Source organism: Homo sapiens, chromosome 5 (genome assembly GCF_000001405.40).
Source record: "Homo sapiens chromosome 5, GRCh38.p14 Primary Assembly".
NCBI classification, from domain to species: Eukaryota; Metazoa; Chordata; class Mammalia; order Primates; family Hominidae; genus Homo; species Homo sapiens.
This window is the reverse complement of record NC_000005.10, coordinates 51,249,750-51,268,360: the sequence shown is the minus strand read 5'-3', so window position 1 is coordinate 51,268,360 and position 18,611 is coordinate 51,249,750. Positions and strand designations below refer to the sequence as shown.

At 36.4% G+C, this 18,611-nt stretch overlaps 1 annotated feature.

Moving 5' to 3' along the window:
* Positions 16,704-17,283: an enhancer, noted in NCBI's record as "NANOG-H3K27ac-H3K4me1 hESC enhancer chr5:50546912-50547491 (GRCh37/hg19 assembly coordinates)". NCBI's record gives its function as "activates a minimal SCP1, AML or CMV promoter by ChIP-STARR-seq in primed H9 embryonic stem cells {active_cell/tissue: H9 hESC(primed)}" and the evidence as "EXISTENCE:reporter gene assay evidence [ECO:0000049][PMID:30033119]".

Here is an 18,611-nt window from a genome sequence, read left to right as displayed (position 1 = left end):
CTATATATCTATTTATCTCTCCCTTCACCTATTCAGCTTTCCAGCTGTCTAACATCTATCTTTATATGTATATTTGAGATATTTATAATAAAAGTCCCTTTGTAAGATTTCAAATTTCCTTCTAAAAGTGCAGAATCTATAAGAGGTCATACTTTAATAAAAATTACCTTTGGTGAAGTCAAAACTTAAATCCATATTGCAGACTTTGGATAGCCAGAATTCTACATGAAGCCACAGAAAATTAGAGGGCACATGTAGAAACAATGTAGAAAAAAATTTGGAGTATGTTAATAATGAAATTATTCTAACCTTGCATTTTTTTTCAGGTCCCGAATAAAGCAAGTCTTCGAGAACACTAAAATTTCTACCGCATGCTGCCTTAAGCATCACCCTTACTGAGAAATGGTGATATCTCTTCTATATCAACAGGAGTGGTGGTGAACTGTAATTTCTAAAAGGCAAAATTGCATTGTAAAATTGCTAAATGTTGCAAATAAGGATTTTAGAGAAGCTATTTGGTCACAGTAGAATGGAGATTTCTGTTAACGTTCAATGGAAGGTTCACATTAGAGGTCATCTCAGAGAGATCAAGGTAATATTCTTTTAGAAACTTGCTATGACCCTCTACTGTAATTAGTGAGTCCGAGATACCTGAGGGAAATCTAAATTTGTGATAGTTCTGGTAGGCCTTTGTAGTCAGAAGTGGGGAGAAATTGAAAGTTTGGATGAGACTTATGTCTACTGTTATTGACATATTTTGTCCATTAATAGTAATGAAATAGATATTTTGTTCATTAATAGTAACAGATGGAGAAAACGTCACATAATGAAGACTTGTAGAACAGTTGTAAAGCATAGACATAAAATTGTGTTCTATACAGCTCAATTCAGAAGAGTCCATTATATCAGAAGAAAACCAAACAATAAAAATTAAATACGATGGGGAACAAAAGGCAGGAAAACAACACATTAAGAATATCTGAACAAGAATATCTGAACATGAATATCTCCAGGGATCCAATGACGTAGGGATCAAATCAAATTATTTTTTAAATTTTGAGTTTAAAATGATACAGTTAACTTTCTAATTTAAAAATTTCCAAATATTTGATTGTTAATTCCAATTTAGTGTCTTTTTGATTCCTGAACTCTTCAGGAGAATGGCAGAGAAGAGCATATCCTTTTTAATGATAGGCTGGAAAATTCGGATAAGTAGAATGACCTGGGCTTCAGTTCATATATGGTCATTTCAGACACAGTACCACACAGAAAAAGAGATTTATAAGCAGACTATGTCAGCAATCCTATTCTTGGATGCAAAGGATTATAAGCCTAGCACAAAGTAAATAATCAGTATTTGCTTACATTTACAAAAGGCTACACAAAAGATTGTGGACAATATGGACAAAGAGCAAAATTAACTCCCAAACTCAAGACAAGAGGGTTCTGTATGTCGAGTGATAAAGGAGATTTTGGAACTCTGTACTTGAATTCTTCCAGAAATCAAGAACCACAGTGTGTTTGTGCACATACTGCCAATGTATACATTCATGGGCCCTAACATGAAACTCCTTAGCGGACCTACACACAGAAAATAAAATGCACTTGATTTGAAAGCACTGTTTCAAGTGTTTCAATATGCAAAGCCAATTTTTATTAATAGAGCATAGAGAAGATAACTTTTTTCCTTCTCTGATTTAGATTGTAAAACATTTAGATTGTAAAACACTAATATTTAAGTAGTGCTATTTTCAGTTTTATTGCTTAATGTTTGAATGTGCAGAAGATCTTAAGAATCAATTGTAAGTCCAATACTTATTAAGTCTAAGTGAGAAAATCTACAATTTTCATAACTCAGTGTCTTGAACAGGTTGTAGTGATGCTATTTGATTAGTTTAACACCTCAGAGGTATGGTTTGCTGAGAATATGATTTTGAAGAGTTTTAAGTTTAACAAAACTCTATAGTGAACTTCACCATAGGATAAATTGCACATTAACATGTATGTGAAATTTAACACTTGAGAATAATATTCTATCTGTAATTAAATAATACATTAAATGTCTCAGGTCAGAATCACTGTTATCAACTGTGAGATATATTTGCTGTTTTAGGCAACTGATGCATGGAGTAAATAGTAGTAATCTACTATGTAACCAAAAGAGTTAACAGTCTTCCTGGTAAGCCAATCATAAACATCCCCAAATTTATTATTTATCTTGATGTTAAAGTGTGCTAAATGATATACCTTGATGTTAAAGTGTACTAATTTTCAAAAAGTAAATAGTTTCCTATGCAATGGTCTCTCCTTATTCATGAAGGCTATGTTCCAAGACCCCCAGTGGACTCCTGAAACCCTGGATAGTACCAAATGCTGTGTATACTATGTATTTTTCCTATACCAACACAGCTATGATAAAGTTTAATTTATAAATTAGGCCCAGTAAAAGGTTAACTAATAATAAAATAGAACAATTATAACAATATACTGTAACAAAAATATGGGAATGTGGTCTCTCTCTCTCAAAATATCTTATTGTACTATACTGTACTGTACTATGCTAACCTATTCTCTGACTGCTGTTGACCATGGGTAACTGAAACTGCAGAAAATAAAACAGCTCATAAGGGAGGACTACTGTGATATTTTTTAATTAACGAGAAAACAAACTTCTTGACAGATAATCAATTAGACAAGAAAATGGTGAAGAAATGTGTAAGGGTTAAATTAACATAGAAAAGCAAACGAACCATAAATGCATTACTGGAAATGCCTCAATAATCTGACTGATGCAACACATGAAACGTTTTGTAATTTCCCAATTGGAGCTGGATTTTTATGTTCCTAATTAAAGTAAAACTTCTAAAAGTAAATAGCATAAGTAAATTTTAGTGCAACTATTTACTGAAAGTGTTTAACTGCATATAGGGGCAACATGGCATGTCAAAGTGAACATAGATACTTTCTATCCCTCATTGTGTACTAGAATTCCGCACCCTTCTAGTACTGTCACATAATGTGATGGTAGTTTTCCTAGGAATGTGAAGGTTAGTTTAGGAAGATAATTTAGGGAAGAAAGGACTATGGGCTTCTTGAGTTTCAGGATCATTTCTTATTTCATATTCATACTTAAAATTCTTAGTTAGCTGTATGAGATTGACATCTCATATACACTTTATTTATTCATTCAACAAATATTTGTTGTGAGTATATGAAGTGTCTCAGAAACTGGTACTCAGAGCCAGAGCACATCAGTGAAGAAAATAAGCAAAAATCTCTACTTGTTTATGGATTTTATATTTTTATATTAATAAGTATTATTACACTTAATATATTTTGATGAATGATTATTGAATGAATGACCAAAAAATAGCCATTTGGGAAAACCAGGAAAGACTATTTTGAAATTCTGTAATTATGATAATTTGCCATTGTCATTGCAAGGAAATTATGGAGTGTCAGCAGAGCATACCAATTAGTTGAATAATACTTTTAAGAAATGTAGTTACTTAGCCATCTGAATTTAGGTTAAAAGCCATATTTCAAAAGACATCCAAACTGGAAAGGAAGAAGTAAAATGATCTCTATTTGCAGATGACATTATTTTATATGTAAAAAAAGTGTTTTTGAGCCCACAAAAAAACCCATTAGAACTAAAAAAAGAAAATCAGTAAATTTGTAGGAAACAAAATCAACATACAAAAATCAGTTCTGTTTCCATATACTAACATTGAAATAGCTACAACAGAAATTAAGAAAAAAATCCTATTTACAATAGCATCAAAAAGAATTAAAAAACATAGAAATAAACTTAATCAAGGAAGTAAAAGACATACACATTGAAAACTACAAATTATTGATGAAAGAAATTAAAGAAGACACAGTAAATTGAAAATGCTGTGTTTGTGGCTCAGAAGATTTAATATTGTTAAAATGACCATACTACCAAAAGTGATCTACATTTTAATTCAATCCCTATAAAATCCAAATGGTATTATTTACAGAACTTGAAAAGTAATGCTAAAATTTGTATGGGACCACAGAAGACCCTGAAGGGCCAAAGGAGTTTTGTTTTTTTTTTTTTTTTTTTGAGACGGAGTCTCGCTCTGTCGCCCAGGCTGGAGTGCAGTGGCGGGATCTCGGCTCACTGCAAGCTCCGCCTCCCGGGTTCACGCCATTCTCCTGCCTCAGCCTCCCAAGTAGCTGGGACTACAGGCACCCACCACTACGCCCGGCTAATTTTTTGTATTTTTAGTAGAGACGGGGTTTCACCGTTTTAGCCAGGATGGTCTCGATCTCCTGACCTCGTGATCCGCCCGCCTCGGCCTCCCAAAGTGCTGGGATTACAGGCATGAGCCACCGCGCCCGGCCAGGAGTTTTGAGCAAAAGAAAAAACTGAAGGCATCAACCTTCCAGTTTTCAAAATGTATTACAAAGCTACAGTAATCGAAACAGTATGGTATTGGCATAAAAACAGACATGTAGACCAATGGAACAGAGCAGAAAAGCCAGAAATAAACCCATGCATATATTGATTTTTGACAAGGGTAACAAAAATACACATTGAGGAGAGAGCAGTCTCCAATAAGTGGTGTTGAAAAAACTGTTTATCCACATGTAAAAGAATGAAATTGAATCCTTATCTTACACCATACACAAAAATAAACTAAAAATGGATTAGAGATTTAAATGTAAGACCCAAAAGTATAAAACCCCTAGAAGAAAATATAGAGAAAAAGCTTGATGACATTGGGCTTGATAGTGATTTCTTGGATATGACACCAAAAACACAAGCAACAAAAGAAAAATCAGACCAAAGAAAAATTAGACAAGTAGACTTGCATCAAACTAAGTAATTTCTACATCGCAAAGGAAAGAATAGAATAAAAAGGCAACTTTAGAAGTGGGAGACAATCTTTGCTTACCATATATCTAATAAGGGATTAATCTCCAAAACATATAAGGAAGTCCTACAACTTAATAGCAAAGATCCTAATAACATGATTAAAAATATGCTTTCTTTAAAATAGTCATACAAATGGTCAACTAGTATAGATAGATAGATAGATAGATAGATAGATAGATAGATAGATAGAATACTCAAGATCACTAGTTCAGGGAAATGCAAATCAAAACTTCAATGAAATATTATCTCTTAGGATGCCTGTTATGAAACAAAAAAAGATAAGTCTTTGTGAGGATGTGGACAAATTGGAACCCTTGTACACTATAGGTGAGAAAGTAAAATGATGCCACCATTATAGAAAACAGTATGAAGGCTCTTAAAAACATTTAAAATAGAACTACCATATCATTGAGCAATCCCACTTCTGTGTATATATCCTAAAGGATTGAAATCAGGATCTTGAAGAAATATCTGCTCTCCTGTGCTCATTGCAACATTATCTACAATAGCCAAGTGTATTAGTCTCTTCTCACACTGCTAATAAAGACATACCTGAGACTGGGTAATTTATAAAGAAAAAGAGGTTTAATGGACTCACAGTTCCACATGGTTGGGGAGGCCTCACATGGTGGAAGATAAAAGGTGTGTCTTATATGACAGCGTGAAAGAGAGAACTTGTGCAGGGAAACTCTCCCTTATAAAACCATCAGATCTCTTGAGACTTATTCACTATCATGAGAACAGCACAGGAAAGACCCGTCCCCGTGATTCAATTACCTCCCACCACGTCCCTCCCATGATATGTAGGAATTGTGGGAGCTACAATTTATAATGAGATTTGGGTGAGGACACAGCCAAACATAGACCTTAGGGGCAGCCTCAAAAAACAGAATCTCTCTGACTTTCTCCTGCCCTCTTTTCACTTGCCCCAAGGCAGGACACTAATCTTCCCCACTTTTCTGATTATGGTTCATAAAACCCTCATTCCAGAGAGAGTCCTGCTCCATACCCAGGGGGAAGGAATGCTGACATCATGAAGCATCCATAAAAACCCAAGAGGATCAAGTTCAGAGAGCTTCCGGGTAGCTGAACGCCTGGGGGTTCCTGGAGGGTGGTGAGCCCAGGTAGAGAATGGAAGCTCTGTACCTATTCCCTCATATCTCATCCTATGAATCTCTTCATCTGTAGCCTTTGTAATATCTCTCATTATACACCAGTAAATATGAAGAAAAGGAGAAGAATAATATCTATCATAGGGTTGTTGTGAGGATTAAATGAGATAATACTTATAAAACACCTATCACAAACAGCATTCAATAAATATGAACTATTATTTATGTTAATACAAATAAGAGGACTGGTAGGTTACTAGAGCTTTTGAGAGAATGTATATCAACACATGACATTTTTAAAAAAAGAATTTCACACAGTATTAAAAGACCAATTGAGATTGGATAGCCTGTACTTGGAATGGTCCTATTCTATACAGTTCCACAATAGTTTACAGATGTACTTTTGTAAAAATATAACAGAAAAAAAGGACAAATTCCTCAACTGATACAAAGTTGGGGGCAGGGATGGCCAAGAATCTTTAAGAGTGATAATGAGGGCAGATTTTTTATCTACTGTAAGGTACATCATCTATATAGAGGCAAGTGTAGTGGGCAGATGTTACATGAAAGTGAAGGTGTTAGGAAAAATGCAAGCATCCTTGAAGTTGAAGTGTGTATTAGGGTTCTCTAGAGGGACAGAACAAATAGGATAGATGTATATATAAAGGGGAGTTTATTAAGGAGTATTGACTCACACGATTACAAGGTGAGGTCCCACAGTAGGCCGTCTGCACTGAGGAGCAAAAAAGCCAGTCCGAGTCCCAAAGCTGAAGAACTTGGAGTCCGATGTTTGAGGGAAAGAAGCATCCAGGAGGGGAGAAAGATGAAGGCCAGAAGACTAAACCAGTGTAGTCTTCCCACATTCTTCTGCCTGCTTTTATTCTGGCCATGTTGGCACCTGATTAGATTGTGCCCACCCAGACTGAGGGTGGGTCCGCCTTTCCCAGTCCACTGACGCAAATGTTAATTTCCTTTGGCAACACCCTCATAGACACACCCAGGAACAATACTTTGCATACTTCAATCAAGTTTACACTCAATATTAACCATCATACCAAGATATAGAAACAACCCATATGTCCATTGACAAATGAATGGATAAAGAAAACATGGTATATACATTCAAAGGAAAATTATTTGACCTTACAAAGGAAGGAAATCTTAATATTTGTGATGACATGGATGTTTCTGGAAGACATTATGCCAAGTGAAATAAATAAGCCAGTCACAGAAGGACAATTACAGGATGATTCCACTTATGTGAGATACCCTGGATAATCAGGCTCATAGAAGCAGAGAATGAAATGGTGGTTACCCAGGGGCTGGTGAAAGGGAAAATGGGGGGTTGTTCAATTGGTATAGTTTTGATTATACCACATGAAAAATTGTAGACATCTGCTATACAACATAGCACTTAGAGTTGTTACCAATACTGTAATGTGCACATAAACATTTGTTAAGAGAGTAGGTCTTATATTAAGTGTTCTTACCACCTAAAAACCTAAAAGGACACAGGAAATTTTTAGATGTCTGTTACCTTGATTATGGTAATGGCTTCATATGTCTGCACATATATCTAACTTCATCAAATTGTACATATTGATTATGTGTATTTTTGTGCATCAAATAATAAAGTTGTTTTTGTGCATCAATCAATAAAGTTGTTTTTAAAAGGTTCAGCTTCACAGACAAAAAAGTCATTTAAACGTATTCTAATATTTTCTTTCTTAGGAAAATGTACTTTAGTGAAATCAGAATCTGGTAATTGTCACCCCTAAATTAGGAGCTAATATTATGTCTCTATACTCTGAAAGTAAATGTGTATTCGTTGGAGCAGATAGCTAAGAATAGTGGGAGGGAAGGTAAAAGAGTGTAATTGTACACTAGCATCAAGTGTATTCTCAAGGTTAAAAGTTTAAAATCTTTCATTCATGGTGTTAGTAACTGTCATAGTTCTTTCACTGTATCTATTGCAAAGAATAGCTAAGAAGTAAAGGAGTGATTTCACTCTCAGCATTTCTGAAGACGATCATTTCAATAGGTGGATGAAGTAATTTTGAGAAAACCAGGAATGTTTGGGTTATCAAGATTTTCAAATGGGAGAACTTTACAAATAATGCCCAACCCTTCTTCTCATCTTCCTCCTGACAGAAGCTGACACACAACAGTGAAAGGATCAGGCCATGACTTGTAAAGAGTTCCTCTGTAGAGCCATTCTGCAATGGGAAAATTTGCCTCAATATTACAGCACACTAAATATTGCCTCTGTAACTGGCTCTCATATTGAAATGATATATTTTTCAGTTTTAGTATAAATACATTTTTATTTCTATGAAATATTGTCTTCAATGATCACCAATCACTGGAGATTTTTGAAATATTTCACACTTCCAGCCTATCCTCTGAGAACAATATATATACATATATTTAAAAAAATACTTTTTCTATTCATCCTTTAGAGAGCTGAATGTGTATGTTTTATATAGGCAGTGTTTATTCTGTTCACCAAATATGAGTTTACGGAATTAAAATACATCACATTTTAATTTAAAAAATCAACATATTCTACATTTACTTTTGTCCTTGAAATAACTAAAAGAAGAACTCTTTTTTTTTTTTTCTGAGACAGAGTCTCGCTCTGTCACCCAGGCTGGAGTGCAGTGGCGCAATCTCTCCTCACTGGCAAGCTCCGCCTCCCGGGTTCACACCATTCTCCTGCCTCAGCCTCCCAAGTAGCTGGGACTACAGACGCCCGCCACCACGCCCGGCTAATTTTTTGTATTTTTAGTAGAGACGGGGTTTCACCGTGTTAACCAGGATGGTCCTGATCTCCTGACCTCGTGATCCACCCGCCTCGGCCTCCCAAAGTGCTGGGATTACAGGCATGAGCCACCGCGCCCGGCCAAACCGCGCCCGGCCAAGAAGAACTCTTAAATGATCTCAAATTTAGGAGTGAAAGGAATACATCTTGTTTTAAATTGTTTGTTTGAAATGTCTTAATTATCTCATTGGTAGTAATGACTAGGTGATAATGACTTTTAATCACCAGAAAAGAGACTATTACAAAAATAATGACTATTGTATCCCAGATTTTATTACTAAAAATCTCAAGTCCTTAAATATTTAAGCAGTATCTTCACATCACACCAAAAAGAAGTAAAATGTTTTCTAATTTTCATATAAGAAGTTTCAGAGCATTAAATAAATGTTAAGACAGGTACTTGGGTTTCAGCTATTTTCACATATGTAAGTAACTTTTATATTTGTAGATGCAAATTTTGGGCTTGGAATCAGAACACTGAATTTGAGTCCCCAAATATTGCTGACCACATCTGAGATTCAGCTGTTTATGAAATGGGACATATTTTACTTACCTCACACTGCTATTGTGAAGATTAAAAGAAAAACATGGAAAAACAACATGTAAGTTATAAGTCCTATGAAATAGAAAATAATATTTTGCAGTGTTCAAGTCAGCTGCAAATTTGAATGTTCTTTGGAGATTTTAGAAAACAAAAAATATCAGTTCCCCAAGCTTTGAATTTCTAACTCAATAGATCTGGGAATGGAGTCATCTATGTTTTTAAAAAGCTCCACAAGACTGAGATACCTGGCCAGAATATCTGTATTGTTATGATGATAATTATTATCATATTATTTTCATAATCTAAGATACTCTTCTATTCTACTTTCCACTCCACCACAGGCGGAGTCCGCAATTCCCTAAAATACTTGCTCTTCAGACCGTTGTTAATGTTCTTAAAGATAAGGAATTAAAAAATAAAACCAACACAGAAATCGTATTGCAAGGAACAAAAAATTAATCTACTCTATTCCTGTCATCTGAAAATAAAAGCCAAATATATAAAGCACAGAAATTCTTCAGATCTTTCTTGGAATATTTTTAGACCAAAAGCAGTTTAATGATAAAGAACACAGATGTTCAATATGGAGATGAGAAAGGACAGGAAAGTTCTTGGCAAGATTAACTGAACTTTTTACTTCTGTCACATAAATGTGACTCCTCTCAAATGAATCATCACTTTTCGATTAGAGCTAAACAGTAATAAAGTGTCAATATGAAAATATGTTGAAATTTAAAAACTCATATCAGACTAATTATTTGTCATATAAATTCCACAAATCAAAAGCTTAATGGACATAAAATCACTCATGTTTACACGATGAGTTACTATTAGCAGAACCAGCATAGAGATTACTTTCTATTGATTTTCATCATGTCATGTTTTCAAAGTGAAGGTTCACTTCATTATGACAATGAAGTAAAATTGAAAATGTTCAAAATTTCAAGAGAATCACAGCATCAACCCTGCATCAAATGTTGTCAATTAAGGTTTTTGAGGGGATGAATTATATTTTTGAGGAGAGAATTTTAATGGCTAAATATTTTAGGCACTAAATAACAAAGGTAAATGAGACACAGTCCCCCTTATCAAAAAAAAAAATAGAGTCTATTGAGGGAGGCGGACAAGTAAACAGATCATTATAAGTTGTTATCATAAGTGCCATAAACTAGAGAAGCATAGCATGCTATTGTAGGACATAAGAGTACCTCCTAAATTTTGCTGGTATTAAGATGGTCAGAACAAGCTCTTAGGAGGAGGCAGTTTTCAAATTTGATTCTTAAATGACAAAGAGTTGTTCAGATTCAAGGGGTGGAAAGAGGATAAAAGCAGTCCTAGAAGAGGAAGCTATGGAGGAGGAAGAAAGAAAGCAAGATTGGTGATTTCAAAGATGGAGAGAATTTTAGTGTAACTTGAGTGTAAAGTGAAAAGATAGGAATGTAGGCAAAGATGGAAACGGGTGTTATATGGCGTGCTTGGACTTGTTCCTGGAAGGTGTTTACAAGCCATTGAATGATTTAAAGATGTATGTCTTATTTATGTTGAAAAGAAACACATCAATTATTTGAGTTGCTTTTTTTAAATCATTAATCCTGTTAAGAGATGTTGCTGAATTTAATAAAGATTACCTAATGTCAAGGAAAAGAGTGCTACATTAGGGGAAAAAAGACCATAGATCATTTGAATTCCTTACGTGTGGAGTGCTCCATCCCTCAGATGCATATGTAACTACAGTTAATGCAAATAGCTCATCACTGTAACATAAGAAGAAATATACTCTCTCCGCTACTAGCTACCCAACATACAAACACATCTCTTAGCTGCTTAGTTTAGAGTTTAGGTAGTTTGATCCATCTGTATTTCCAGCAGTTGAAATGCCATATAAGGCTTTGTATATTCCAGCTAAAAAGAAAAATCCTTGGGATTAACACGTAAACAAGAAATCAACTCAAATCTTTGGTTCTATTGTAAGAAATGCAAGATTTAGTTGAACTTTGACTTTAAAAATTTATGAAGGCTTTAATTATAATTTTTTTTTAATGCTGGGCTATAACAGTGGTTGGTAATGATATTCCCTTTTGACTTTATATGTCTAAATGTTCCTAATAAGTTTATTAATATCAAAAATTAGTATAGTATATCTTTATAGTATATCTTTTACTTATTTTTTTTTTTGGCCTGACGTGCTGATTCTTTTTTTTTTTCTTTTTTTTTTTTTTAATTATACTTTAAGTTTTAGGGTACACGTGCACATTGTGCAGGTTAGTTACATATGTATACATGTGCCATGCTGGTGCGCTGCACCCACTAACTCGTCATCTAGCATTAGGCGTATCTCCCAATGCTATTCCTCCCCCCTCCCCCCACCCCACCACAGTCCCCAGAGTGTGATATTCCCCTTCCTGTGTCCATGTGATCTCATTGTTCAATTCCCACCTATGAGTGAGAATATGCGGTGTTTGGTTTTTTGTTCTTGCAATAGTTTACTGAGAATGATGATTTCCAATTTCATCCATGTCCCTACAAAGGACATGAACTCATCATTTTCTATGGCTGCATAGTATTCCATGGTGTATATGTGCCACATTTTATAAATCCAGTCTATCATTGGTGGACATTTGGGTTGGTTCCAAATCTTTGCTATTGTGAATAATGCCGCAATAAACATACGTGTGCATGTGTCTTTATAGCAGCATGATTTATAGTCCTTTGGGTATATACCCAGTAATGGGATGGCTGGGTCAAATGGTATTTCTAGTTCTAGATCCCTGAGGAATCGCCACACTGACTTCCACATGGTTGAACTAGTTTACAGTCCCACCAACAGTGTAAAAGTGTTCCTATTTCTCCACATCCTCTCCAGCACCTGTTGTTTCCTGACTTTTGAATGATTGCCATTCTAACTGGTGTGAGATGGTATCTCATTCTGGTTTTGATTTGCATTTCTCTGATGGCCAGTGATGATGAGCATTTTTTCATGTGTTTTTTGGCTGCATGAATGTCTTCTTTTGAGAAGTGTCTGTTCATGTCCTTCGCCCACTTTTTGATGGGGTTGTTTGTTTTTTTCTTGTAAATTTGTTTGAGTTCATTGTAGATTCTGGATATTAGCCCTTTGTCAGATGAGTAGGTTGCAAAAATTTTCTCCCATTTTGTAGGTTGCCTGTTCACTCTGATGGTAGTTTCTTTTGCTGTGCAGAAGCTCTTTAGTTTAATTAGATCCCATTTGCCAATCTTGTCTTTTGTTGCCATTGCTTTTGGTGTTTTAGACATGAAGTCCTTGCCCATGCCTATGTCCTGAATGGTAATGCCTAGGTTTTCTTCTAGGGTTTTTATGGTTTTAGGTCTAACATTTAAGTCTTTAATCCATCTTGAATTGATTTTTGTATAAGGTGTAAGGAAAGGATCCAGTTTCAGCTTTCTACATATGGCTAGCCAGTATTCCCAGCACCATTTATTAAATAGGGAATCCTTTCCCCATTGCTTGTTTTTCTCAGGTTTGTCAAAGATCAGATAGTTGTAGATATGCGGCATTATTTCTGAGGGCTCTGTTCTGTTCCATTGATCTATATCTCTGTTTTGGTACCAGTACCATGCTGTTTTGGTGACTGTAGCCTTGTAGTATAGTTTGAAGTCAGGTAGTGTGATGCCTCCAGCTTTGTTCTTTTGGCTTAGGATTGACTTGGCGATGTGGGCTCTTTTTTGGTTCCATATGAACTTTAAAGTAGTTTTTTCCAATTCTGTGAAGAAAGTCATTGGTAGCTTGATGGGGATGACATTGAATCTATAAATTACCTTGGGCAGTATGGCCATTTTCACGATATTGATTCTTCCTACCCATGAGCATGGAATGTTCTTCCATTTGTTTGTATCCTCTTTTATTTCCTTGAGCAGTGGTTTGTAGTTCTCCTTAAAGAGGTCCTTCATGTCCCTTGTAAGTTGGATTCCTAGGTATTTTATTCTCTTTGAAGCAATTGTGAATGGGAGTTCACTCATGATTTGGCTCTCTGTTTGTCTGTTATTGGTGTATAAGAATGCTTGTGATTTTTGTACATTGATTTTGTATCCTGAGACTTTGCTGAAGTTGCTTATCAGCTTAAGGAGATTTTGGGCTGAGACAATGGGGTTTTCTAGATATACAATCATGTCATCTGCAAACAGGGACAATTTGACTTCCTCTTTTCCTAATTGAATACCCTTTATTTCCTTCTCCTGCCTCATTGCCCTGGCCAGAACTTCCAACACTATGTTGAATAGGAGTGGTGAGAGAGGGCATCCCTGTCTTGTGCCAGTTTTCAAAGGGAATGCTTCCAGTTTTTGCCCATTCAGTATGATATTGGCTGTGGGTTTGTCATAGATAGCTCTTATTATTTTGAAATACGTCCCATCAATACCTAATTTATTGAGAGCTTTTAGCATGAAGCGTTGTTGAATTTTGTCAAAGGCCTTTTCTGCATCTATTGAGATAATCATGTGGTTTTTGTCTTTGGCTCTGTTTATATGCTGGATTACATTTATTGATTTGCGTATATTGAACCAGCCTTGCATCCCAGGGATGAAGCCCACTTGATCATGGTGGATAAGCTTTTTGATGTGCTGCTGGATTCGGTTTGCCAGTATTTTATTGAGGATTTTTGCATCAATGTTCATCAAGGATATTGGTCTAAAATTCTCTTTTTTGGTTATGTGTCTGCCCGGCTTTGGTATCAGAATGATGCTGGCCTCATAAAATGTGTTAGGGAGGATTCCCTCTTTTTCTATTGATTGGAATAGTTTCAGAAGGAATGGTACCAGTTCCTTCTTGTAACTCTGGTAGAATTCGGCTGTGAATCCATCTGGTCCTGGACTCTTTTTGGTTGGTAAACTATTGATTATTGCCACAATTTCAGATCCTGTTATTGGTCTTTTCAGAGATTCAACTTCTTCCTGTTTTAGTCTTGGGAGAATGTATGTGTCAAGGAATTTATCCATTTCTTCTAAATTTTCTAGTTTATTTGCATAGAGGTGTTTGTAGTATTCTCTGATGGTAGTTTGTATTTCTGTGGGATCGGTGGTGATATCCCCTTTATCATTTTTTATTGCGTCTATTTGATTCTTCTCTCTTTTTTTCTTTATTAGTCTTGCTAGCGATCTATCAATTTTGTTGATCCTTTCAAAAAACCGGCTCCTGGATTCATTAATTTTTTGAAGGGTTTTTGGTGTCTCTATTTCCTTCAGTTCTGCTCTGATTTTAGTTATTTCTTGCCTTCTGCTAGCTTTTGAATGTGTTTGCTCTTGCTTTTCTAGTTCTTTTAATTGTGATGTTAGGGTGTCAATTTTGGATCTTTCCTGCTTTCTCTTGTGGGCATTTAGTGCTATAAATTTCCCTCTACACACTGCTTTGAATGCGTCCCAGAGATTCTGGTATGTTGTGTCTTTTTTCTCGTTGGTTTCAAAGAACATCTTTATTTCTGCCTTCATTTCATTATGTACCCAGTAGTCATTCAGGAGCAGGTTGTTCAGTTTCCATGTAGTTGAGTGGTTTTGAGTGAGTTTCTTAATCCTGAGTTCTAGTTTCATTGCACTGTGGTCTGAGAGATAGTTTGTTATAATCTCTGTTCTTTTACATTTGCTGAGGAGAGCTTTACTTCCAACTATGTGGTCAGTTTTGGAATAGGTGTGGTGTGGTGCTGAAAAAAATGTATATTCTGTTGATTTGGGGTGGAGAGTTCTGTAGATGTCTATTAGGTCCGCTTGGTGCAGAGCTGAGTTTAATGCCTGGGTATCCTTGTTAACTTTCTGTCTCGTTGATCTGTCTAATGTTGACAGTGGGGTGTTAAAATCTCCCATTATTATTGTGTGGGAGTCTAAGTCTCTTTGTAGGTCACTCAGGACTTGCTTTATGAATCTGGGTGCTCCTGTATTGGGTGCATAAATATTTAGGATAGTTAGCTCTTCTTGTTGAATTGATCCCTTTACCATTATGTCATGGCCTTCTTTGTCTCTTTTGATCTTTGTTGGTTTAAAGTCTGTTTTATCAGAGAGTAGGATTGCAATCCCTGCCTTTTTTTGTTTTCCATTTGCTTGGTAGATCTTCCTCCATCCTTTTATTTTGAGCCTATGTGTGTCTCTGCATGTGAGATGGGTTTCCTGAATACAGCACACTGATGGGTCTTGACTCTTTATCCAATTTGCCAGTCTGTGTCTTTTAATTGGAGCATTTAGTCCATTTACATTTAAAGTTAATATTGTTATGTGTGAATTTGATCCTGTCATTATGATGTTAGCTGGTGATTTTGCTCGTTAGTTGATGCAGTTTCTTCCTAGTCTCGATGGTCTTTACATTTTGGCATGATTTTGCAGCGGCTGGTACTGGTTGTTCCTTTCCATGTTTAGCGCTTCCTTCAGGAGCTCTTTTAGGGCAGACCTGGTGGTGACAAAATCTCTCAGCATTTGCTTGTCTTTAAAGTATTTTATTTCTCCTTCACTTATGAAGCTTAGTTTGGCTGGATATGAAATTCTGGGTTGAAAATTCTTTTCTTTAAGAATGTTGAATATTGGCCCCCACTCTCTTCTGGCTTGTAGGGTTTCTGCCGAGAGATCCGCTGTTAGTCTGATGGGCTTCCCTTTGAGGGTAACCCGACCTTTCTCTCTGGCTGCCCTTAATATTTTTTCCTTCATTTCAACTTTGGTGAATCTGATAATTATGTGTCTTGGAGTTGCTCTTCTCGAGGAGTATCTTTGTGGCGTTCTCTGTATTTCCTGAATCTGAACGTTGGCCTGCCTTGCTAGATTGGGGAAGTTCTCCTGGATAATATCCTGCAGAGTGTTTTCCAACTTGGTTCCATTCTCCCCATCACTTTCAGGTACACCAATCAGACATAGATTTGGTCTTTTCACATAGTCCCATATTTCTTGGAGGCTTTGCTCATTTCTTCTTATTCTTTTTTCTCTAAACTTCCCTTCTCACTTCATTTCATTCATTTCATCTTCCATTGCTGATACCCTTTCTTCCAGTTGATCGCATCGGCTCCTGAGGCTTCTGCATTCTTCACGTAGTTCTCGAGCCTTGGTTTTCAGCTCCATCAACTCCTTTAAGCACTTCTCTGTATTGGTTATTCTAGTTATACATTCTTCTAAAATTTTTTCAAAGTTTTCCACTTCTTTGCCTTTGGTTTGAATGTCCTCCTGTAGCTCAGAGTAATTTGATCATCTGAAGCCTTCTTCTCTCAGCTCGTCAAAGTCATTCTCCATCCAGCTTTGTTCCATTGCTGGTGAGGAACTGCGTTCCTTTGGAGGAGGAGAGGCGCTCTGCTTTTTAGAGTTTCCAGTTTTTCTGTTCTGTTTTTTCCCCATCTTTGCGGTTTTATCTACTTTTGGTGTTTGATGATGGTGATGTACAGATGGGTTTTTGGTGTGGATATCCTTTCTGTTTGTTAGTTTTCCTTCTAAAAGGACCCTCAGCTGCAGGTCTGTTGGAATACCCTGCAGTGTGAGGTGTCAGTGTGCCCTTGCTGGGGGGTGCCTCCCAGTTAGGCTGCTTGGGGGTCAGGGGTCAGGGACCCACTTGAGGAGGCAGTCTGCCTGTTCTCAGATCTCCAGCTGCGTGCTGGGAGAACCACTGCTTTCTTCATAGCTGTCAGACAGGGATATTTAAGTCTGCAGAGGTTACTGCTGTCTTTTTGTTTGTCTGTGCCCTGCCCCCAGAGGTGGAGCCTATAGAGGCAGGCAGGCCTCCTTGAGTTGTGGTGGGCTCCACCCAGTTCTAGCTTCCTGGCTGCTTTGTTTACCTAAGCAAGCCTGTGCAATGGCGGGCGCCCCTCCCCCAGCCTGGCTGCTGCCTTGCAGTTTGATCTCAGACTGCTGTGCTAGCAATCAGTGAGAGTTCGTGGGCGTAGGACCCTCCAAGCCAGGTGCGGGATATAATCTCGTGGTGCGCCATTTTTTAAGCTGGTTGGAAAAGCGCAGTATTCGGGTGGGAGTGACCCGATTTTCCAGGTGTGTCTATCACCCCTTTCTTTGACTCAGAAAGGGAACTCCCTGTCCCCTTGCACTTCCCAAGTGAGGCAATGCCTCAACCTGCTTTGGCTCATGCACGGTGCGCACACCCACTGGCCTGCGCCCACTGTCTGGCACTCCCTAGTGATATGAACCTGGTACCTCAGATGGAAATGCAGAAATCACCCGTCTTCTGCATCGCTCACGCTTGGAGCTGTAGACAGGAGCTGTTCCTAATCGGCCATCTTGGCTCCTCCTGTCTACCGAGTATATCTTTAAACTGTAAGATTATGTCTTAGAATTCACATAAGTCTCTTTTACTTGCCTCACCTCCATTTTAATGTGATTAAAATAGAGGTGATATGTATACAGGGAAAAATTGGACAATTAAGAATAGATTATGCCATGTAATATTTCTTTAGAATAGTTCAGAACAATACAGACTCATAAAACGTGCCATTTAAGTTTTTCCTAGATAAATTACTTTGCATAATCTAGCTAATAAAAAACAAATAAAGTTAAAACTTAAGAAGACAGTGTAGAAAAGAACATATAGGTCAGTATGTTTAAGGGTAGAATCAGGGGAGGTGATGGTAATGGTTGGATTTCTGTTCATTCATGACACTAATTCAAAAACATAGGTCCAAGATAAGATAAGGTAAAGATAGTCATTAGTCGAAAAGAAATAATATACGTAACTTCTACATTGTTAGAGAATAAGGAGAATAAAGAAATCGCGTTGTGTAGCTGATGACAGAAAAGTGAGAAAAAGCAAACAGCAAGAACTCATAAAATATATAAAGCATAACTAACAGAAAAAATAGACCAAATGTCAGTTATCACAATAAATATTAATGAGTTGAACAATTTTATTAAATTAAAAATATAAGATTGTATTTAAAATTATAAATGGCTATGTGATTTAGAAGAGACACCTAAAATTAAATGGTACAGAAATGTAAAAATACAGAGATTAACAAGAAGACATAAAAGACAAGTAAAAGTTGTTTTCAAAGTCATAGATGGCTATTGATAAAATCATAAGAGAAATAAAATTCAAAGCAAAAAAAAATCAATGAGACAAAGCTTCATACAATTTACATGCCAAATCTCAAGAAATTTTTAATCAAGATAGCAATTTTAATAAGTATGACTGCCTATAAAGTATACTCTTTCAATTAAAATTATTTCCTGAATATTTGTGATACATCAAACAATATGTGTGTACAGTAATATTCATAAATTATGAATTAT